A 23,721-nucleotide genomic window follows, 5' to 3' on the forward strand; every position below is an offset into this window, starting at 1 on the left:
GCGTAACTCAGTCCTACGGAGAGGCACATTTATCTACAGCTAGAGAAACTGAGGGCCAGAGAAAGGAGAATTCAAGGCCAGACAGATAATGGTAAAGTGAAGATAGGGACTTAGGCCTCCTGGCTTCCCCTCGCCCACCCTTAGCAATAAGTGCCACCATTTGTTTACATATTGCTTTTTCCTTCCCCTTTTTAATTGAAAAACCATCTGCTCACTGGGCACGGTGGCCCACGTATGCCCTAGCTACTCCAGAGTCTGAGGAGGGAGGATCCCTTGAGCCCAGGAGTTCAAGGCCAGCCTGGGAAATCCTGTCTCTAAAAAGAGAAAGAGAGAAAGAAAGCATGCATCTCCTGAGTGCGCTGTGTTGCAAGCCCTCTTCTCGGGCTCCAGGCCCAGTGCGATGACTGAGCACGGTCAAAGCAAGCAGCCACCCACCCTTGTCCCGGTGCTGACCCCTCTGCTCTCCCGCAGGCTCCATCCTGGAAAACTTCAGTGGCAGTGGGGGCGGCGGGCCCGCGGGGCTGCTGCCGAACCCGCGGCTGTCGGAGCTGTCCGCGAGCGAGGTGACCATGCTGAGCCAGCTGCAGGAGCGCCGCGACAGCTCCACCAGCACGGTCAGCTCGGCCTACACCGTGAGCCGCCGCTCCTCCGGCATCTCCCCCTACTTCTCCAGCCGCCGCTCCAGCGAGGCCTCGCCCCTGGGCGCCGGCCGCCCGCACAACGCGAGCTCCGCTGACTCCTACGACCCCATCTCCACGGACGCGTCGCGGCGCTCGAGCGAGGCCAGCCAGTGCAGCGGCGGCTCCGGGCTGCTCAACCTCACGCCGGCGCAGCAGTACAGCCTGCGGGCCAAGTACGCGGCAGCCACTGGCGGCCCCCCGCCCACTCCGCTGCCGGGCCTGGAGCGCATGAGCCTGCGGACCAGGCTGGCGCTGCTGGACGCGCCCGAGCGCACGCTGCCCGCCGGCTGCCCACGCCCACTGGGGCCGCGGCGTGGCAGCGACGGGCCGACCTATGGCCACGGCCACGCGGGGGCTGCGCCCGCCTTCCCCCACGAGGCTCCAGGCGGCGGAGCCAGGCGGGCCAGCGACCCTGTGCGGCGGCCCGATGCCCTGTCCCTGCCGCGGGTGCAGCGCTTCCACAGCACCCACAACGTGAACCCCGGCCCGCTGCCGCCCTGTGCCGACAGGCGAGGCCTCCGCCTGCAGAGCCACCCGAGCACCGACGGCGGCCTGGCCCGCGGCGCCTACTCGCCCCGGCCGCCTAGCATCAGCGAGAACGTGGCGATGGAGGCCGTGGCGGCAGGAGTGGACGGCGCGGGGCCCGAGGCCGACCTGGGGCTGCCGGAGGACGACCTGGTGCTTCCAGACGACGTGGTGCAGTACATCAAGGCGCACGCCAGTGGCGCTCTGGACGAGGGCACCGGGCAGGTGTATCCCACGGAAAGCACTGGCTTCTCTGACAACCCCAGACTACCCAGCCCGGGGCTGCACGGCCAGCGCAGGATGGTGGCTGCGGACTCCAACGTGGGCCCCTCCGCCCCTATGCTGGGAGGATGCCAGTTAGGCTTTGGGGCGCCCTCCAGCCTGAACAAAAATAACATGCCTGTGCAGTGGAATGAGGTGAGCTCCGGCACCGTAGACGCCCTGGCCAGCCAGGTGAAGCCTCCACCCTTTCCTCAGGGCAACCTGGCGGTGGTGCAGCAGAAGCCTGCCTTTGGCCAGTACCCGGGCTACAGTCCGCAAGGCCTACAGGCTAGCCCTGGGGGCCTGGACAGCACGCAGCCACACCTGCAGCCCCGCAGCGGAGCCCCCTCCCAGGGCATCCCCAGGGTAAACTACATGCAGCAGCTGCGACAGCCAGTGGCAGGCAGCCAGTGTCCTGGCATGACTACCACTATGAGCCCCCATGCCTGCTATGGCCAAGTCCACCCCCAGCTGAGCCCCAGCACCATCAGTGGGGCCCTCAACCAGTTCCCCCAATCCTGCAGCAACATGCCAGCCAAGCCAGGGCATCTGGGGCACCCTCAGCAGACAGAAGTGGCACCTGACCCCACCACGATGGGCAATCGCCACAGGGAACTTGGGGTCCCCGATTCAGCCCTGGCTGGAGTGCCACCACCTCACCCAGTCCAGAGCTACCCACAGCAGAGCCATCACCTGGCAGCCTCCATGAGCCAGGAGGGCTACCACCAGGTCCCCAGCCTTCTGCCTGCCCGCCAGCCTGGCTTCATGGAGCCCCAAACAGGCCCGATGGGGGTGGCTACAGCAGGCTTTGGCCTAGTGCAGCCCCGGCCTCCCCTCGAGCCCAGCCCCACTGGCCGCCACCGTGGGGTACGTGCTGTGCAGCAGCAGCTGGCCTACGCCAGGGCCACAGGCCATGCCATGGCTGCCATGCCGTCCAGTCAGGAAACAGCAGAGGCTGTGCCCAAGGGAGCGATGGGCAACATGGGGTCGGTGCCTCCCCAGCCGCCTCCGCAGGACGCAGGTGGGGCCCCGGACCACAGCATGCTCTACTACTACGGCCAGATCCACATGTACGAACAGGATGGAGGCCTGGAGAACCTCGGGAGCTGCCAGGTCATGCGGTCCCAGCCACCACAGCCACAGGCCTGTCAGGACAGCATCCAGCCCCAGCCCTTGCCCTCACCAGGGGTCAACCAGGTGTCCAGCACTGTGGACTCCCAGCTCCTGGAGGCCCCCCAGATTGACTTCGATGCCATCATGGATGATGGCGATCACTCGAGTTTGTTCTCGGGTGCTCTGAGCCCCAGCCTCCTCCACAGCCTCTCCCAGAACTCCTCCCGCCTCACCACCCCCCGAAACTCCTTGACCCTGCCCTCCATCCCCGCAGGCATCAGCAACATGGCTGTCGGGGACATGAGCTCCATGCTCACCAGCCTCGCCGAGGAGAGCAAGTTCCTGAACATGATGACCTAGAGGCCCGAGCGCCTGGTGCTGAGTGCACCCGGAGGGGTCATCGCTGCCCAGAGCCTGGGGATTCCAGCTGTCTTGTCTTTTTCCAAAAAAGTGTTAAATAGGCTTGAGGGGTTGTTGCGCAATGGCCGCTTCAGATGACAGATGTTGTAAGAGAAGGTTTATGGGCATCCTCTCTGGTCTTTTGGATTATTCCTCAGAACAATGAAAAAAGTCTCCATAGGACAGGAAGGAATGCAAAACTCATTTACACAGTGCTTTCCAGCCTTTGGTGCTTACAGGACCGCGCTGTTCCGGCTTCTTCACGGCTGACATTCGGCTAACGAGGGATTACTTTGGCCAAAACCTTTCAAAGGATATGCAGAAAGATGGTAGGGAGCATTTGGGTTTGAATCTGAATGCTATACTGGATACTCTGCTCCGGAAAGATGAGCTTTTTATTCTACTACTTGGAAGGAAAAGGAATTCCTGGTCCACCTGAATTCCTCTATGAAGCCTAACTCTTGAGGTCTCTAACATACCTTGTCATAGAGGAAAAGCACAGATTATACCTGGATGATTCAGGAGCACATTCTGATTCCAGGTTTGGTAGAGCTGGCTCTTCTACTCCGTAAAGCCGAGTCTGGGACTGGCAGCCCATCCAAGTGTATATGAATGAATAAAGCATCCAAGTATATATGAATGAATAAAGTATGTAAGTATCACCAGAAAAAGGAAAGAAAAAATGTACTCCTTGGGGCAAGCCCAGAAGCTGCCCTGGCCTCTCCAGACCGTGTTTACAGTGTTTGCATGTAGAATGTAGCCCTTCCTGAAAAGAAGACTTGTTTCTAAATACCTCGGGGCTGCTGGAGCCGCTGTGGGTTAGGGATGGACTGAGGCCTCGAGGAGTGAGGGTGCACCCGGGGCCCAGCCTCAGGCTGCCCTAGGGATCTCTCAGTAGGAAGAGGAAGTTGCGTGTTTACCCAATCCTGTTTCTCCAATGCAACGTCCACCCACTTTACCACCAAAAACTCCAGGGCCTGACGGCAGCCCGGTCCCCCAGCACTCACCAGCAGCCCAGTGTTCTCCACCAAGCCACAGTGTGCATGCCTGGTATCCTCCGGATTCCCTTCCTTCTGCCCGCTGAGTCACTGGGCAGAGAATGATGACATGTGTAGGTGGTGTGGTTGGGGGTGGAAAGGGGAAGGGGTTGATCCTCAGGACTCTGAGGGAGCATCGTTGAATTTTCCTGTTCAGTGTGACCAAGACCCACCTGGAAATGGAATTTGGAACTGGCTTCAGGAGACATCATTCCTGAACACACTGTAGGGTGAATTGGTGCATCTTCCCCACCATACACACACACACACACACACACACACACACACACACACACACACCCCAAACCTTTTCATGGGGAATGTGTGGCAACCTTGCCAAACAGCACCACTCAGAGTGTGACTCTGACTGTGACCTTGGCCTTAATGAGGAACTTCTTAGGAGAGTTTGAGGACAAGGCCAACATCGTCATCTGGGCTCGCTGCGTCCCAGCACATCAAACTCTGTCCAGAGACAAGGCCAACTGCAAATGAAAGCCAGGGAACATTGCTAAGGGTCTGTGGCTCTGTGGTGGTGTTCATCGCCTTCCTGAGATAGGATTTCCCTTGCCAGTCCCAACCTGTATATATTCTGTACAGAAGACATCCCTGAATATACTGTAGGTGAGTCGTCCAGCCAAATTTATATCTCCAAAACATTTTTAGCTTTTTCTACATGCTATGAATTGAGATGACATGCTCAACTTGTAAATAAGTCTTTTTGTACATTAAAAAAGTAATTTTTTCATAATTTATCTTGTCTATCTGCTTCCCCCTTGACAGTAGTTAATGAGAACCTGGGCAGTAAATTTGGTGCATTCGAGCAGAAATTAGGCTGTATTTTTTCTTAACAGTGTCAAAATTGACTATCCCGCCTTTGCCAAGAAATGTTTAATGCTGAGGCATTTACTGGCTGTTTGTTTGTTGTCTCCTTGGGGCCGGGCAGGGTTTGACATTTCACAGTGAATATCTGACTGCTCTTCCGGTGAGCCACTCTGAACATCTATATGCATTGCAGACCGGGGTATAGACCCAAACACTCCTAGGGTCAGAACCCTCCCTTTGGTGGGCCCTCTGATGGAGCATATTTCATCAGGGTGGGGCGGGGTGAGATGGGCAAACCCCCAAGGCTCTGGTGCAGGTAGAAGGAGTCAGGGCAGGCAGGTGGCACCTCCAGGATGCCCAGCAGTTGGCCTTGGCAAAGGGGCCCATGGGGAGCAACCACGAGCAGGGGCTCTGAGCTCTAGGGGGCCGCCCAGCAGGTGGACAGGGAAAGCCTGGGTCCAGTGGGCAGACAGTCAGCTGTTGGCCCCTACAGTAAACCTCAGGGAGCCCTTGAATGAGTCATGAGGCCCCATCTGGGGGTAGGGCCAGAGACGGAGCAGGGAGCAGAGCCCCAGGACTGAACTAGAGGGGAAGAGGGCACTTTCTAAGGGCCAGGCACCCGGGCCTCTGAACACCGAGCCCAGAGCCCTTTACCCTCTCCTCTCCAGGAGAGAAGCCTTAGCACGCAGGCTGGGCAGTGTGGACACCAAAGACACATGGGACATCATCTTTGCCTGGAAGGCATGAGACACATGGACCGGGGAAGGGTTTTGTGGTCAGACACTTGCAGGAAACCCCCAAGGAGAATAGAATTGAGCAGATTTCCTTTCCGCAGGCATCCCACAGCCTCCACTGTGCATCAGGGAGCCACCACTTCTCTGGCCAACATTTCCTAGTGGAAAGGCCCCTCTCCTCCCCAAGGAGCAATGTCACTCGGCGAGCTCCCAGGGAGGAAGTAAGCATGCACAGCTCTGCCCTTCCCTCCTCTTCTTTCCAAAGCCCACCTTCGGGGCTCACACCTTCTCTGCTTCACCACTTGTTAAGCCTCTGGAAGCAGCTCTGCCCTACTTTGTGGAGAGGGTGAGGCCTAATGTTGTTCAGTGCCACCTGAGGTTGCACGAGCCACAGAATTAAGAGCCCACTGTGGCCATTCAGACGAGCCATCTCCTCTGTGTCAGGTAACGATGGCCACAGTCACGCTGCATAACAACATCCGTGAAACCTCAGCACCGTATAACAATAAGCATGTAGTTAGCTCATGAACCTGAAGGTCTGAAGGTTGGCTGCCCCGGGTCGGGCTTGCCTGGGCTGTCTCCAACTGTGGCTCAGCTGGGGTCATCTAGTCTAGGTGGCTTGGCCTCCCCCAGTGTGACACATCTTCCTCCCAGGACCAAGACACTAGCAATGACAGAAGCACAGGAGGGCAAGCCAGCAGCTGCAGGTCCCCAAAGCAAGTCACGTGGCCAGCACCCATGCAGTAGGGAAGGGTACTCCTGCGGAAGTGAGCAGGAGAGAGCAAATATTTCCCGACAGTAATCCAGTCTACCACAGCCTGCCTTCCTAGAGACAGTTATTCATGTTCCACATGCAGAATATACCCAATCAACACCCCCAGAAAAAAAGAAAAAACTCTCCAGTCAGACTTCCTCAGGCTTAAAGTCCAGGATCTTGTGGTCTATATCTGGGTGTGGTTCTTCTTGACCCAGAGTCTTACCAGCTAAAAAGACAAGTTTTCTGCCCGTCGCACCCTGCTCATACACCCAACATACAGTGGTGGACCAGGGCTAGAATAACACTAATGAGCACTCCCATCTAGAAAGGGAGACGGAGGCACACAGCAGTCCCTGGTTCAGGCATCTGAAGTCCTGCCGGGCAAATGTTGCAACGCCCCTGCTCTGGAGGTGGGGTGCTCCGAGCGGCCCCCAGGCCATCGTGCGCCACAGTTCTAGCTTCCACCGCTGGGGCCTTCTTCCTTTTCCATCGTCCTTTCAACTTCTGATGAGGATGTTGGAAAACAGTCCCTTTGGTAGCAGAGTAACTTTCAGCTTCTTCCTGCCTGTGGGAAGTTGGGAACCTAAGGTTCTTTAGGTTCAAACAGTCTCAGTTTCCTTGAGTCCTGGGCGATGCCTTTGCCCAGAGCGATCTCTCAAGCATCTCAGGAGTTTTCTATGTATTTGACTCCAGCCCACTGTGTGTCAGAAGCCACACCCAAATTCCTTTGGCAATATGCCTCTCTACGTCTGACAATGTGTACCCCCACATCAGGCTGCTGTAGGCCACACCTTGATAGTTTGTAGGCACCCTGTTGTTACTAAAAGGATATGCTTGATGTCACCTTATTCCTTGCAAGGACCTGATGACAAAGGGCATTACCATTAAGGGTACATCCCTGATGTCATCTCAACTCTGAGGCATGCTTCACCAACGTAGCTCTGGATCTGGTCTTTGCCTCCCAGGCCAGATATTAGATTGGTGCAAAAATAATTACTTTTATGCCACAATTATTTTGCACCAACCTAATATTAATTTGAGGACCTTTTACTGGCTGGAGAGCCCGGAGATGGGAAGTGATTTTGTTTTCTAAATTCTGCTTGTACACTGGCTAGTTCCTTTCCGAACTCGTCTCTTACTTGTAGAACCTTATCATTTGCAGCTCGAAAAGCTCATGTTTACAATATTCTGCCTGGAAACCGTCCTGCCCAACTCCACTAACTCATAGGTCCATTTTCTCCCTCCCAAAGTATCATAGGCAATAACTTTACCAGATGTCTCTCCACCACATAACACAGGTCACCATCTTTCTTGCCAGTTTTCCCAGCCGCCTCTGTATTTCCTCACTGCCCAGTTCCAAACCTCTGCTACATACTTTAGGAGCAGCAGCCTCCGATTCTAGGTACCAATTTCAGAATAAGTTAACTGCAGTCCAGTAGTGCTGTCTAATAAAAATGCTTACAGGCTGAGCGCAGTGGCTCACTTTGGGTGGCTGAGGCAGGCGAATCAGAAGGTCAGGAGTTCAAGAGCAGCCTGGCCAATATGGTGAAACCCTGTCTTTACTAAAAATACAGAAATTAGCTGGGTGTGGTGGCACACGCCTGTAGTCCCAGGTACTCCGGTGGCTGAGGCAGAAGAATCGCTTGAACTCAGGAGGCGGAGGTTGCAGTGAGTCGAGATCGCACCACTGTACTCCAGCCTGGGCGACAAAGCGAGACTTCGAAAAAAAAATGCTTACAACAGGAGGCATCTGTTCAGCTCCTAAGTCTGCGAGTTAGCTGAGGTGGACTTAGCGAGGCTGGGCTTGCTGGAGCAGCTCAGCTCTCCTCCTGTGCCACTCCTCTCCCTGGGACCAGAGGATTGTTCGGACATCTAGCAGTGATGGCAGAAGGACAAACGGGCAAGAAATAACACAGGAGCCTCTTTGGGCCTAGGCTAGGAACCGAAAGCAAAGCATATGGCTGAGCCCCAGGTCAGTGGAACTAAGAAGCTCACTTCTATACAGTGAGGGGAGACAGGTATCCGAGCAACAATCCAGACCAGGCATAGTGGCACAGGCCTGTAATCCCAGCACTTTGGAAGGCCAAAGGATTGCTTGAGCTCAAGAGTTCAAGATCAGCCTGGGCAAAATGGTGAAACCCTGTCTTTACAAAAAGAAAACAGCTGGGCATGGTGGCATGCACCTGCAGTCACAGCTACTTGGGAGGCTGAGGTGGGAGCATTACCTGAGCCCAGGGATGTGGGGACTGCAGTGAGCTGTGACGGCACCACTGCGATTCTAGCCTGGGCAACAGGGTGAGACCCTGTCTCAAAAAAACAAACAAACATCTAACCTACCACATCCTCAATCCAGCTTTTTTAACAGTAAGACCAACATTGCAACCTCCATCTGTCTGCTGAGTCTGTATTTTAGTTGGTTCTAAACCCAGAAGAAGCCAGGTGTAGTGGTATGTGCCTCTAGTCCCAGCTACTGGGGAGGCTGAGGCAGGAGGATTGCTTGAGCCCAGGAGTTCGTGGCTGCAGTGATTGGACCACTGTCCTCCAGCCTGGGCAACAGAGTAAGACCCCAGTTCTATAAAATAAAAAATAAATACAACCAGAAAAGGATAACAGTAGGGGGGTTCCTTTTTCTTCTTCTTTCTTCTTCTTTCTCCTTCTCCTTCTTCTTTCTTCTTCTTCGTCCTCTTTCTCCTCTTCCTCTTCTCCTCCTTCTCCTCCTTCCCCTCCCCCTCCTTCCCCTCCTCCTTCTCCTTTTCCTCCTCCTTCTCCTTCTTTTGCTTCTTCTTATTCTCTTCTTGTTGTTGTTCTTATTTCTTTTTCTCTCTCTCTCTCTCTGTTTCTCGTAGGAGGGAGTGAGCAACTAACGGGGAAGGGATGAAAGATAAGAATGATTTGAATAAGAAAAAATATCTGGCTGGGAGGAGGAGGAGGATCAGGAAAAATAACTGAAGGGTACTAGGCTTAATTGGGTGATTAAATAATCTGTACAACAAACCCCCATGACACAAGTTTACCTATGTAACAAACAAGCACTTGTACCCTTGAATTTAAAATAAAAGTTAAAAAAGAAAAAAGATCTGATTTAGATTTTGAAAGATTAATAGGAGTTCATCTGAGGGGACTGGAGATTTCTCATCAGAAACCATGAAAGCCAGGAGTAAGTGAAATATTTTTAAAGTGCTGAAAGAAAAGAACTGTCAACCCAGAACTCGTTATTCATGAAAATATCCTTGGTAAAATAGATACTGTGAGATAAATGGACATTCTCAGATAAAGGAAAACTATGAGGGTTCATTGCCCATAGACCTGCCCTAGAAGGCAGAAGGGAAGTGATCCCAGAAGGAAACGTGGAGCATCAGGACTGGAGGAAGAGCAGCGGAAGTGGTAAGTGTTTGCAGGAATACAGTAGACTACTCCTGCCTCCTGGGTTCTTTAAAATACGTTCAACAGTTAAGAGGAAAAAAGTACAACATTGTTTGATGGAGTTTTCCATGTATGTAGGTGTCACAAAGACAAGTATTACATAAGTGGAGAGGGTTAAGGACCTGTATGGGGTTCTAGAACTACATTCCACTTGAAGTGGGCAAGTATTCTTCTGCAGACTGTGCAAAGTTATATATATTCTAATCCCTAGTGCAATCAGAAAAAGACCAAACAAACTATACAAAAGGATGTAGGCAAAACCACAATAGAGACATCAAAATGGAATACTAAAAGCATGTTCAAATAACCCAAAAGAGGGCAAAAAAGAGTAACAGGAATAATAACAACAAAAAGAAGCAACAGAGAAAACAAAGAATGAAATGGTTGACCTAAATCCAAACATATAAATAATTACATAAAATGAAAACGGCCTAAAAGCCTCAATTAAAAGACACAATAAAGCACTCACACAACCTGCTTTTAAGATGTACTGTAAAGCTGGCATCATCAAGACAGGGTGGTATTGGTGATGGGAAGACACAGCTCAATGGAACAGAGCAGAGCAGGGTCATGCACTGTAGCCCAAAGGCAAAATCTGGCTGATATGGTTTGGCTGTGTCCCCACCCAAATCCCATCTTCAATTGTAGTTTCCACAGTCCCCACATGTTGTGGTAGGGACCCGGTGGTTCCCATAGAGCTAATATAAAATATAAAACCAAAACATTTTATGGTAATTGAATCATAGGAATGGTTATCCCCATGCCGTTCCCATGATAGTGAGTGAGTTCTTACAAGATCTGATGATTTTATAAGGGACTTTTCCCCCTTTGCTTGGCACTTCTCTCTCCTGCTGCCTTGTGAAGAAGGAAGTGCCTGCTTCCCCTTCCGCCATGAGTGTAAGTTTCCTGAGGCATCCCCAGCCATGCCGAACTGTGTATCAATTAAACCTCTTTCCTTTATAAATTACCCAGTCTAGGGTATCTCTTCATAGTAGCATGGGAATAGACTAATACACACTGGCCATGGTCTCTTTTTGTATGACCAATGAGCTAATAATGGTTTTTACATTTTTAAAGGGTTTTTTTAAATAATAAAAGCATATGAAGCAGAGATCATATGGCCCACAAAGCCTAAAACATTTACTATTTTACCCTTCACAGAAAACATTTGCCAACCCTTGGAATAGAGAATCCAGAAATAGACCCACAAAATATAACAATGGATTTTGAACAAAAGTGCCAAGGCAATTCAATAGGAAAAGAATTAAAACATATGATGTTGAAACAACTGGATATCCATAGGCAGAAAAAAATAATGAACCTTGACCTAAACCTCACACCTCACAAAAATTGCCTCAAAATAGACCATACAGCTAATATAAAATATAAAACCACAACATTTTTAGAAGCAACCATAGCAGAAAAAGTCTTTATGCCCTGAGGTTAGACAAAAAGTTTTTATACATGACACCAAAAAACATGGTCCATAAAAGGAGAAATTTGGGAAATTGGATTTCATAACATTTAAAAATATGTTCTCTGAAAGAGACAGGAGAATGAAAACACAAGCTACAGACTGGGAGAAAATATTATTTCATCACACATCCAATGAAGGACTTGTATCCAGACTATATAAAGAACTCTCACAATCAATGGTAAGAAAACAAACCAGCTTAAAAATGGGGAAAAAAACTTGGACAGATGCTTCACTAAAGAGGATATATGGAGGCACATGAGCACAGGAAAGGCTGCTCACCATCCTTAGCCACTAGGGCAATACGAATTTAAGCACAGTTAGATTCAGCCACCAGGCATCTGCGTGGCAGCAACTCTTCCCTACACTGTGAAGATAAATCTTCACTTCCTTACAGAGCTCCAGGCCTGGCCTATGAGAACTGACAAGGGGCCTTGAACCCCACTGTCCTCATCTGTGATATAGGTTTGATAAATTGCCCATCCCAAAAAGCTTTCAAGGATGAAATGAGACAAAATATGTAATATTCCTCAGCCTTAGTGGGTGTTCAACAAGCTTCCCCTCTTTGTGCCAAGAGACATCATCATCACAGAAATATTCCTTTGGCTAATAGATTTGGAGCAGAAATACCCCTGGAAAAGATTACCCTCAGTCCCACCACTGCAAGAACTCATTTCATCAGTAACTTCATTCCTAAAAATTGGTCTGAAGGTATTTTTGAGGCCCAGTAACTTTGCAACATGTCAACTTGGCTGAGCTGATCCATGCTTCTCAGAATTCCTGCTCCTGGGTGTTTCCGTTAGGTTGGATTACAAGAGAGATTCTTGCGGGAGACTTGGTGGGTGGGGGCAGAGGGATGCAGCAGGCATTTCACAGCCCATTTGTGGAGTCGATTACCTGCGGGCTCTGCCCATCTTTGTGGGGCAGCCATCTGGGCCTCCACCTTCCCTGGCTCCTCCTTCCGCTGCCCCACCTCCATAGGCCAGGTGTGTATGTTTAGTGCCATGGTGGGGGCCTTGGCTTCAGAAAGACATTCATACCACCAAGGCCAGAAGCAACAAGCACTGACAGCTCTCAGTCTGTCCTCGTGGGCTCCAGCTTGTCCTTGCTCCCCCAGTCTATAGGTATCTTCTCTTCCTGACCACCTGCCTGTGGGCTTCGAGTTCCAGCATCAGACACAGCAAAAAGGCCTTACAGAGACTGCTTGACCAGCCCTCATGACTGTGAAAGGCCAGGTCCTTGCAGCAGATCCATTTCTCTATCTATCTATCTATCTATCTATCTATCTATCTATCTATCTATCCATCCATCTGTCTACCTATCTACCTGCCCACCTATCTATCTACCTATTATCTAGCTAGCTAGTATGATCTCTGTATCATCTATCTATCTATCTATCTATCTATCTATCTATCTATCTATCTATCATCTATCATGATTTCTTTGTCTGACATCTATCTATCCATCCATCCATTCATCCATCCATCCATCCATCCATCTATCCATCACAGTGGTCCTGTGTCCCTGCTTAAGCTGTGGCTGATAACATGACCATGGAAGGAAGGCAGCTCTGCAGGTCTGGCAAGGATGTCAAGGGCCAGCCTGGTGACCTGCCGCAGCTACTGTGGACAGGGAGCTACCCTCAGTGTTTGCTCTGTCCCAAGCACTATACCATACACGTTACTTCTCTTGGGCAGGTTATATTGCTGCAATAATGTGGAGAAAAAGCATCCCAAAACTCACAGGCTTAAAGCAATGATCATTTGTTCTCACTGCTCCATGGGTTTCCCAAGAATGGGCTGACCTATGCCAGGCCAGGCTCAATGGCCCAGCTCCACATTTTGGAGTCCAGACTGAAGAGTCACCAGTGACCTCAGGGAGAGTCTTCTCGTGGTGATGGCAGAAGTTTAAGAGGACATAGGAATTTTCCAGACCCCCTAAGGCCTAGGTTCAGAACTGGTCCACTGCTACTTCCGTCCCTTTCTCTTGACCAAAGCAAGTGACATGGCCAGACCCAAAGTCACAGAGGCAAGGAATTTCATCCTACCCTTAAGGAGGCAAGGCCAGGGCATGGACTCCAGGCAAGGTGATGAACAGGGACCAATGATTGTGTCTACCACTCACAGTGTTTATTTACTCTGTGGCAGGCACTGTGATAGACAGTTTACATTAATGGAGTTCTGCAATCCTCACGACAACCCTACACAATAGGTAGGAACTATATTATCTCTAGTTAGGTTAACTTGTCCAAGATTACTTTGCCACTGAGTGGCAGATGGGGATTTAGACTCAGGACTTCTAACCCCTGTGCCCTCACCTCACTGTGTTGAGAGTGGTGAGCAAAACGAGGCTTGTCGACAATAAGGGAAAGTGGCATTAAGCAAATAAAGGAGAACTGCAGTTCTCAGGGCCATGAAGGCTCATGGTACTATGAGACAATATAATGGGCAGATTTGAGCAAGTCGGGAAGTTTGGAGAAGACACCTGAGAAAATGGCGACTGAGCCTTGGTCTGAGAGATGGCCATACAAAAAGGGCAGGGAGAGGTATTCCAGGAAAAGGGAAGAGTATCTGTAAAGGCCCTGAGGGAGGAGTGCAGAACATGGTGCCAGTGAGTAAGTAAAAAAAGCAGGCATGGCTGGCAGAGGGTAAGGGGCTGAAGGAGTGGGGAAGAAGGCCAGTAGTGCAAAGCTTTGTAGCCTAGGGTAAGCTCAAGCTTTCTCCTAAGAGCATCAGAAAGCATTAGAGCAGTTTTTGCATGGGAATGACATGATAAGACTTGCATGTTGCAAAGCTCTAACTGCAAGGCAGAGAAGGACTTGGCAGGATGTACAAGGGAACACCACCTGGCATGTGGCATCCAGGGAGGGATGGTGGAGAAATGGAGTCATGGTGGATTCAAGAGCCACTTAAGGCTCTTTTGCTCCCTCTTACCATGTGCTACAGGCTTCCTCTTTGCTTTCCTCAATGATTGTAAACTTCCTGAGGCCTCACCAGAAGCAAATGTTGGCATCATGCTGCTTGTACAGCCTGCAGAACTGTGAACAAAATAGGTCTCTTTTCTGTATGAATTGCCCAGTCTCAGGTATTCCCTTATATATTCCATTATATTCCATATAGCAAGGCAAAATGAACTAACACAGAAAATTGGTACCAAGGATTGGGGCATTGCTATAAAGACCTGAAGATGTGCAAGTGGCTTTGGGACTGGGTACAGGCAGAGTTTGGAAGAATTTGGAAGGCTCAGAAAAAGAAAGGAAGATGAGGGAAAGTTTGGAACTTCCTAGAGACTAGCCAAATGGTTGTGACCATAATGCTGACAGAAATATGGACAGTGAAGTCCAGTTTGATGAGATCCCAGATGGAAATGAGGAATTTATTGGAAGCTGAAGGTTACCCACGTTATGGCCTAGCAAAGAACTTGGCTGCATTGTGTCCACGCCCCAGGAATTTGTGAAAGTTTGAACTTAAAAGCGATGACTTAGGGTATGTGGTGGAAGAAACTTCTAAGCAGAAGTGTTCAAGAAGTAAATTGGCTGCTTCTAATGACCTATGATCAGATATAGGAGCAGAGAAATGACCCAAAGTTAGAATTTATTTTTAAAAGGGAAGCAGAGCATAAAGGAAAGTTTGAAGCCTGTCCATGTAGAGAAGGAAAAATCATTTTCAGGAGAGAAATATAAGGGAGCTGCAGAGCAACCACTTGCTAGAAAGATTTGCATGACTGAAAGAGTGACAAATGCTAATAGCCAAGACAACAACAGGAAAGGCCTTGAAGGTATTTCAGAAGTCTTAGGGCAGCCCCTCCCATCACAGGACCAGAAGTCTAGGAGGAAGGAAAAATTTGAGGGGGAGGGGGAGAGTGTTAGGCCCAGGGCCTTGCTGCCTTGCACAGCCTTGGGACACTGCTCTCAGTATCCTGGAAGCTCTGACTCCAGCCCAAAGAGCTCCATGTGCAGCTCAGGCCACTACATGCTGGCTTCCATGTAGTGTTAAGCCTGCAGGTACACAGAATGCGAATATAAAGGAGGCTTGGCAGCTTCCACCTAGATTTCAGAGGATGTATGAGAAAGCCTGGGTGCCCAGGCAGAAGTGTGCTGTGGGACAGAACCCTCATAGAGCACTTCTACTAGGGCAATGTGGAGGGGAAATGTGGGGTTGAAGCCCCCACAGAGTCTCCACCATGGTACTGCCTAGTGGAGCTGTGGGAAGGGGGCTGCTGCCCTTTAGACCTGAGAATGGTATATCCACTGGCAGTTTGCACCCTGAGCCTGGAAAAGCTGCAGGGACTCAACTTCAACCTGTGAGAGCAGCTATGGGGGATGTACCCTGCAAAGCCACAGATTTGGAAATGCCCAAGGCCTTAGGAGCCCACCCCTTGCACCAGTGTGCCCTGGATGCAGGACATGGAGTCAAGGATTATTTTGGAGCTTTAAGGTTTAATGTCTGCCCTGTTGGGTTCCAGACTTGCATGGGTCCTGTTGACCCTTTCTTTTGGTTGATTTCTCCTTTTTGGAGTGAGAACGTTTATCTAATGTCTGCACCACCATTGTATCTTGGAAGTAAGTAACTTGCTTTTGATTTTACAGGCTCAGCTGGAAGGAATTTGCCTTGAGTCTCAGACAAGACTTTGGACTTTGGACTTGGGACTTTTAAGTTGAGGCTCGAACAAGTTACGACTTCTAGGGACTATTGGGAAGAGATTATTGTATTTTGCAACGTGAGAAGAACATGAGATTTGGGGGACCAGGAGTGGGATGATATGGTTTGGATATGTGTCCCCTCCAAATCTCATGTCGAAATGTGATCCACAGTGTTAGTGGTGGGGCCTGGTCGGAGGTGTTTGGGTCATGGGGGCGGATCTCTCATGAGTGGCTTGGTGCCTTCCTCATAATGACGAGTGAGTTCTCCCTCTGCTAGTTCACATGAGAGGTTGTTTAAAGAAGGCTGGCACTTACCTTCTCTCTTTCTTGCTTGCTCTTGCCATGGGATATGGGCTTCCCCCTCGCCTTACACCATGATTGGAAATTTCCTGAGTCCTCACCAGAAGCAGATGCTGGCACCATGCTGCTTGTACAGCCTGAAGAACTGTGAGCCAAATAAACCTATTTTCTTTATAGATTTTTTTTAAAAAGAGCTACGTGAGGCATGTAAGCAACAAGACTCAGCAAGGGTTCCACACGAGGAATAAGAGAGAAGGAGGTGGTATGGAGCATGCCCTAGTCTCTGACTTGCCTGATGTGGTGATGAGGAGTGTTGGACGAGGGCCAGTGAGATTAGGTGGGGACGATATGGGGCAGGGTGGGTGGAGGGACATCGTGAGTTACAATTTGGATGCGTTGAGTCTGCTGTGCCTCTGAGATACCCAAGAGGAAAGGCCTGAGAGGCATTAGGTTTGGTGGGTCTGGAGTGAGCTCAGACAAGAGCCTGGGGTCCTGGTACTTACCTATGAGTTGGAGCATGGAAGAGATGCTGGGAGCTGTAGGTGAGCTCACGTGGGGCAAGGTGGAGCTCCAGAGAGGAGAAAGCCTGCTCAGGAGCCTTGGGAAATGCTAGCGATGAAGGGCCAGGACCAGAAGGATGCAGCTGCCAGGGAGTTTGAGAGGAAACCATAAGAAGAAGGGGAGAAGAACCCGGGGGGGTGCCCCAGGCTCCAGGGAGAGGGCCTTTCCAGGAGGGTTGGCAACAGTGGCTGGCCCCCGCATTGCCGTGCATTTCAGCAGCCTTGGGTCAGCCTTGCCCATTGCTTTCTCTCATATCCCACAGCCAGTCTGTCAAGAAATCCTTCTGGCTCTAACTTCAAAGAATATCCAGAGTCTATTCACTTTTCACCATAACCCTGTGGGCCTCCATGGCATGCTGGAGCCCGAAACCAAGAAATGATCAGATCAGGACTCTCTTTGCCCCTTCTGGGATAGGTGGTTTACCAGCACTCTGCTCCCCTGCTGTATCCCCCTCTTATCCTAAGCTCTTCACCAAGCCTCCTTATTGGTCCACATTTCCCCATCCTGGTCTCCTATTGCCTTTGCTCAGTCTCCAGTCGAAGCAGTTCTTCCAAGTCACGTCACTCCTCTGCTTAGCACTGATGCTGTGCTCCTGTCCCTCCCAGCACACGGGCTCCCTCAGCCCTCATTCCCCTTCCTCCCCCTATCACCTCCTGGTTTACTAGCGCTCTGCTCCACTGCTATGCTTCACGTCATCCACTTGGCTTCCTTGCTTCCCCAGGCATACTCCAGGCACACCCTGCCCCAGGGCCTCTGCACTGGCTGTTCCCCAGGTATCCACGTGACTCACACTTCACCTCCTTCAGGTCTTTGCTATCCTAACCACCCTACTTAAAATTAGAATACCACCCCCCAGCCCCATCTCTTTACCTACTGTATTTTTTTTCACAGCACAGATAAGCTTCAAAATCACTGTGTAATTCACGCTTGCCAAATGAGCTCATTGGTGACAGAAGCAGGTGCTGGGATGGCACATGATGGAGCAGTGTCAGGTAGGAGAGAGGCAGGGAGAGCCAGAAGTAGAATCGTCTAGCAACCACTCCTTCCAGAAGTTTGCCAGTGAAGGGGAAAGAGAAGAGAGAACAATAGCAGGAGAGGTTTTGTTTGTGATCATTTTTTAATGGGAAAGATTTGAGCATGTGGAGAGTCGCTGAGATGATCCAGCTCAGAGGGAGATGCCAAATGGATAGGGGGTGGAGGGTGAGATAACCAGAGTGTGTGGCGGGAGCAAAAACATGGGAAGGGATTGGGGAGGGTGGGCCTTAGACAGCAGGATGGAAAATGGCCCTACTGGAACAGGAGGGAAGGAAAGAGAAGAGGGATGATTGGAGCTTGCTTGTAGGTTTGGGACTGGGAAGAAAAGAGAGCTTCTATCCTAGCCCTTGATGTAGGCACCAAGGTGTTCTGCTGGGAGAGGGATAATCAGAGCCCCAAGAATGGTGGAGAAGGTCTGGGACAGTTGTTACTGGGGAGCGGCAGCAGCCTTAGGGAAACAGAAGAGGCTGAGGATCCAAGGACGTCACTGCCCTCTTATGTGGGCATTTGTGATTCCAGCGCCAGGTTGAGCATCAGAGATGGTGCCTCTTTCAAGGAGCTGCCTCTCTCCCTAAAAGAAATTGCTCTTGGGCGGGGGAGAAATAATGTCTAAATGTAATGCTTTACAAGGCAGGGAGGAGAACCCATTAGGCCTGCTGCCGGTGTCCCTGCAGCGTGGCCAGCTGCTGGAGCTAGAGGTAATTCCCCCGTGCCCTTTATTGCCTCCGCTCGGCGGGAGTGACACCGGGCCCTGCTTTACGAGCTGTCAATAAGGGCTGTGTTTTATATTATGGGCAGGACAATTTATGGGCCGCCCCAGCACTCTGCAGACAGCCATTTGGCCAGGGAGGAAAATGGCCTCATACTTAAGAAATTTGGAAGCCAGAAAACAGCCTGAGAGAGAGAGAGAGAGAGAGTGTGTGTGTGTGTGTGTGTGTGTGTGTGTGTGTGTGCGTGCATGCATGTGTGCACATGTGTATGTGTGTGTTGCATGCATGCACACATGTAACTATGTGTGTGCTCAGTTTCATCTGCCTGACTTGTTTTGAAAAACAAGAAAAGCTCCATTATAGGCTGACTACCAAAATGAAATGAAATAAAGTGACTCATTTCCTTCTGGATATGGCCTTTGCAACACATACTGACAATGAGGTTTTGGAGGAAGGGGCAGGTGACCAGGGGTGGTCAGTCCTGTCAAATCCACATGGATTCCTTTCTCCCTGGGTAGGTCTAGCTCTCAGCAGAACAAATGGTAACATCTCCCATGAGAGAATTTACAACATTTTACTGAAATGCCCGTTTTCAGTCTGACTTCCCTGTAGACTCTGTGCTCCTGGAGAGTGGGGCCATGTTTCATTTGACTGCATTCCTAGGCTACCTGACCTCAGCCGGCACCATGGCCAGACTCAGTCTCTGGTTGTGGAATGAATGCTTGAATAAGTGAGAGTTAGCTACCTGAGCACGGAAGGGGTCTGCCGAGAGTTCATCTCCCCGTTAGACCGGAAGTCTCTTGCTGGCAGGGCCCTGTCTTTGTTAGGTAGGCACTGAGGCACTGACACATAGGAGGGTCTTAGATATGTGTATTGGACTGGTGTGGACTGAGCAAGGCAGAGAACTAAGGTTAGATGACTGTATTTGTCCGTTCTCGCATTGCTACAAAGAACTACCTGAGGCTGGGTAATTTATAAGAAAAGAGGTCTCATTGGCTCATGGTTCTGCAGGCTGTACAGGAAGCATGGCTGGGGAGGCCTCAGGAAACTTACAAATATGGCAGAAGGGGAGGCAGGCACATAATACATGGCTGGAGCAGGAGGAAGACAGCGAAGGGAGAGGTGCTACACACTCTTAACCAGATCTCACTATCAGGAGAACAGCAAAGGGGAAATCCACCCCCATGATTTTATCGCCTCCCACCAGGCCCCTCCTCCAGCACTGGAGATTACAATTCCACATGAGATTTGGGCAGGGACACAGATCCAAACCATATCAATGACTGCCGAGGTAAGTAGATTTACAGCTAGTAGATCCCCCATCTCAGGCAGTGTTGAGACTGAGAATGGGTGAATGGGCTGGCTCAAGGCCACTTCTTTTGTGGTCCTGTTGCTGGCCCTCCCTCATCCCATTGCCCTCTGAGTGGTGGAGGCTCCCAGGCTCTGTCCTCAGCAGATCCTCCACATTCTCTCCCTGGGTGTGCCCATGCTATCCCAAGGCTTTAATACCACTATGTGCTGATCACTCTCAAATGCATACCTCCCCCGTGACCTTTAGGCTCTTATATTCAACTGCCTGTTTGACACTCCCTTGAAGGTCTCATCAGCACCTCCAATTTAATATTCATCCCCAAACCACCTTCTCCAGTCTCCCTCATCTTAGTAAATGGTACCACCATTTGGCGTTTGACTAAGGCAAGAACCCAAGAGCCAGTTGGGGTGAATATCTTAAGTGTCAACTTGACTAGGACGTGAGGTGTCCATATAGTTGGTTAAACATTATTCTGGGTGTGTCTGTGAGAGTTGGTTTCTGGGTGAGGCATTTGATTAACTGAATAAAGCAGATAGCCCTCTCCAATGTGGGTGGAGGTCATCCAAGCCATTGAAGGCCTGAATAGAACAAAAAGATGGAGTAGGAAAGAATTCTCATTCTCTACCTGACTGTCTGCAAGCTGGGACATCAGTCCTCTCCTGCTTTTGGATTTGGATTCGGACTGGAACTTGCACCATCAGCTCTCCTGGTTCTCAGACCTTCAGACTCAGATTGGAATGACACCATTGGCTCTCTCAGGTCTCTAGCTTGCCAAGTGCAGATCTTAGGACTTCTCCACCTCCATAATCCCATGAGCCAGTTCCTTATAATCAACCTCTCTCTCTCTCATATACATACATACATAGTAGTGCCCCTTATTTGCAGAGGATGCATTCCAAGACCCCGAGTGGGTACCTGAAACTGCAGATCTATCGAACCCTACATATGCTATGTTTTTTCCATACATACCATACACATATACATACCAATGATAAAGTTCAATTTATAAATTAGGCACAGTACTCTTGTGCTTTGGGGCCATTATTAAGCAAAATAAGGGTGACCTGAACACAAGCACTGCAATGCCCCAACCGTCAATGGGAGAACTGAGATGGCTACTAAGGGACCCAGCAGGAGAGCAGCACACACAGCATGGAGGTGCTAGACAAAGGGATCATTCATGTCCTGGGGATGATGGAGCAGACCGTGCAAGATTTCATCACACTATGTAGAGAAATATGCAATTTAAAATGTACAAATTGTTTGCTTCTGGGATATTTCATTTAATGTATTCAGATCGTGATTGACCATGAATGACTGAAACTGCAGAAAGTGAAACCATGGATAAAGGGAGACTACTGTACACTACTGTCCTGTTTTTCTGGAGAAAACAGATTAATACACCATCCTTTACTATTCTCTTTCAGTCCCGTTCTACAACCAATCCACCACTGAGTTCTGTCACCTATATCCCAAAAATATATACAAAATCTGATTGCCTCTCTTTGTCTCTAGGTCAAGACAACCCCAGCAGCCTTCTCACTAGTCTCCTTGCCTTTTCTTTTCCTCTCTACATCCCATTCTCCACAGAGCGACCTCCTAAGACACTGATCAGGTGGCATCATTGCCAGATGTGGCGCCCTCCTGTGGTGCGTCTTCACCCTCAAAGCAGACCCACACTCCTTGCCTGTGGATCCAGCCCCACCTGTACCGCTGGTTTCCTCTCCAGCAACCCTCAACCCCTTCACTCCCGCTAACTAAAATAACCTTTGTGTTTAACTTTTTCCATTGAACCAATTTTAGACTTACAGAAAAGTTGCAAAAATAGCACAGATTATTCTCTTCACCCCTACTTGTGACAACTCAAATAACCATAATACAATGATCAAGACCAAAAAATTAATACCAGTACAATGCTTTTAACTAAACAGCAGATCCTACTTGAATTCACTAGTTTTCCTCCTATGTCTTTTTGTTCTTTCAGGATCTCATCCAAGATCCCAAATTGCATTTGTGATTTCTCCTTTGTTTCCTCTAATCTGTCAGTCCCTTAGTCTCTCCTTGTCTTACATGACCTTGACACTTTTGAACGGTGTCCCTCTATTTGGGCATGTCTGATGTTTTCTCATGATTGGAATTAAATTATGCATTTTTGGCAAAATGACACAGCAGAAATTACGTGTCCCTCTCTCAGTGTGTCATATCAAGAGATTCATGATATTGACATGTCTTATTACTGGTCACGTTAACCTTGATCATTTGGTTATGCTGGCGTCTGCCAGGTTTTTCCACTGTAAAGTTAATATCTTTCCCTTTGTAATTATTATATTTGGAGATATACTTTGAGTTTATACAAACCCTCTTTTTCTTCAAACTTTAGTATCCATTGGTGGATCTTCTCTACAACTATTACTATACTTTATGCTTTTTCTTGGCTTCAGGCATTTAAAGAAATGCTATGAAAACATTGGTTAATCACTAAGGTAATGGAACACAAGTATCAGTGGCCACACATGACAAGGAATTCAGACTTTACAAAAATAGTTTAAAAAATATACTAAACAAGCACACAACAACCCACAACAAGCTGAAACAACTAATTCTGAGAATGGGGAGGAATCTGGTTTCCAGAATTAACCTATTATAATATTCAAAATGTCCAGTTTTCAAAAAACCTATAAGGCATTGAAAGTACAAGAAAGTATGGTACATTTATAGGAAAAAATAAATGTATAGAAACTGTCCATGAGAGGCCCAGGCATTAGACTTACTAGAAAAAGATTTTAAATGAGTATACTCAAAAAGCTAAAAGAAACCATGGAGACAGAACTAAAAGAAAGCAGGAGAGCGATGCTTCACCAGATAAAGAATATTGTTAAAGAGATAGAAATTATAAAAGGAATCAAGTAGAAATTTGGGTGCTGACTTTTGATGCTAGGGTTTGCTTTTCTCCCCCCAGTCATATCTTGTGATTTCCACAGTTGTCGTATTAGTGTTGAGTTTTCTGAGTTGGCATAAGCTGATCACATATTAGAGGTTTATTTTTACGATTCTATGTAAACGTGCACACGTAATTTAAAATCTGCATTGGGATTGGTTGGAATATTGTCCTAAATTAATTAAATCTTGCACTGTTTTGAATGCATCTGCTATTTATACATCTGCAAGTGGGTATGTCATAAGGAGTCAGATTATCTTTAATTTAAAATGAATAGTTTTTCCTTTTTGTTTAATTTTGTTTTGTTTTTATAAATGTTTTCAAGAGTATAGAAAATTTATTTCTAATTTTTCTTGCTATTACAACTGATGTAAATGATAGTTTCAGTTTTTGTGAGATTTAAAAAAATAAAGCACTTATTCTAAAAAAAATAGAAATTTGGGTGCTGAAAAGTACAAATGAAATGAAAAATTCTGCTAGATGGGGCCAACAGCAGATTTGAACAGGCAAATGATAGAATCAGTGAACTTGAAGTTAAGTCAATTGAGATTATTTAGGTTGAAGATCAGAAAGAAAAAAGAATGAAGAAAAATAAACAGAGACAGTCTAGGAGACCTGTAGGATACCACCAGTCTTACAAACATATCATAATGGGAGTTCCAAAAGGAGAAAAAAGAGACAGGAATAATATTAGAAGAAATAATGACTGAAAACTTCCCAAATTTGGTGAAAGACATAAATCTACACATCCAACATGTAGCTCAACAAACACCAAGCAAAATAAACTCAAAGAGATCCACATTGAGATGCACTATAGCAAGCTGACATAAGAGAAAGACAAAACATCTTGAAACAAGAGAGAAGAGACTCATCACAGACAAGAGATTCTCAATAAGATTAATAGCAATTTTCTCATCAGAAATCATGAAGGCCAGAAGATTATATATTTAAAGTACTGAGAGGGGGAAAAAAGAAAACCAATAATTCTGTATCCAGAA

At 48.7% G+C, this 23,721-nt stretch overlaps 1 protein-coding gene across 8 annotated transcripts in view, besides 1 other annotated feature; it reads left to right on the plus strand.

The window, feature by feature from the left end:
• GLI2 (GLI family zinc finger 2) overlaps window positions 1-4,917 on the plus strand; it is a 256,786-nt gene extending 251,869 nt beyond the window's left edge. For all 8 annotated transcript variants that reach the window (NM_001371271.1, NM_001374353.1, NM_001374354.1 and 5 more), the window contains one exon: window positions 472-4,917. In NM_001371271.1, coding sequence (NP_001358200.1) covers window positions 472-2,939 — 2,468 coding nt within the window. In that variant the 3' untranslated portion in view covers window positions 2,940-4,917. The remainder of the gene's footprint in view (window positions 1-471) is intronic.
• Window positions 14,642-15,205: an enhancer, noted in NCBI's record as "NANOG hESC enhancer chr2:121759954-121760517 (GRCh37/hg19 assembly coordinates)". NCBI's record gives its function as "activates a minimal SCP1, AML or CMV promoter by ChIP-STARR-seq in naive H9 embryonic stem cells {active_cell/tissue: H9 hESC(naive)}" and the evidence as "EXISTENCE:reporter gene assay evidence [ECO:0000049][PMID:30033119]".

The sequence above is a fragment of the Homo sapiens genome, chromosome 2 (assembly GCF_000001405.40).
Source record: "Homo sapiens chromosome 2, GRCh38.p14 Primary Assembly".
NCBI lineage: Eukaryota > Metazoa > Chordata > Mammalia > Primates > Hominidae > Homo > Homo sapiens.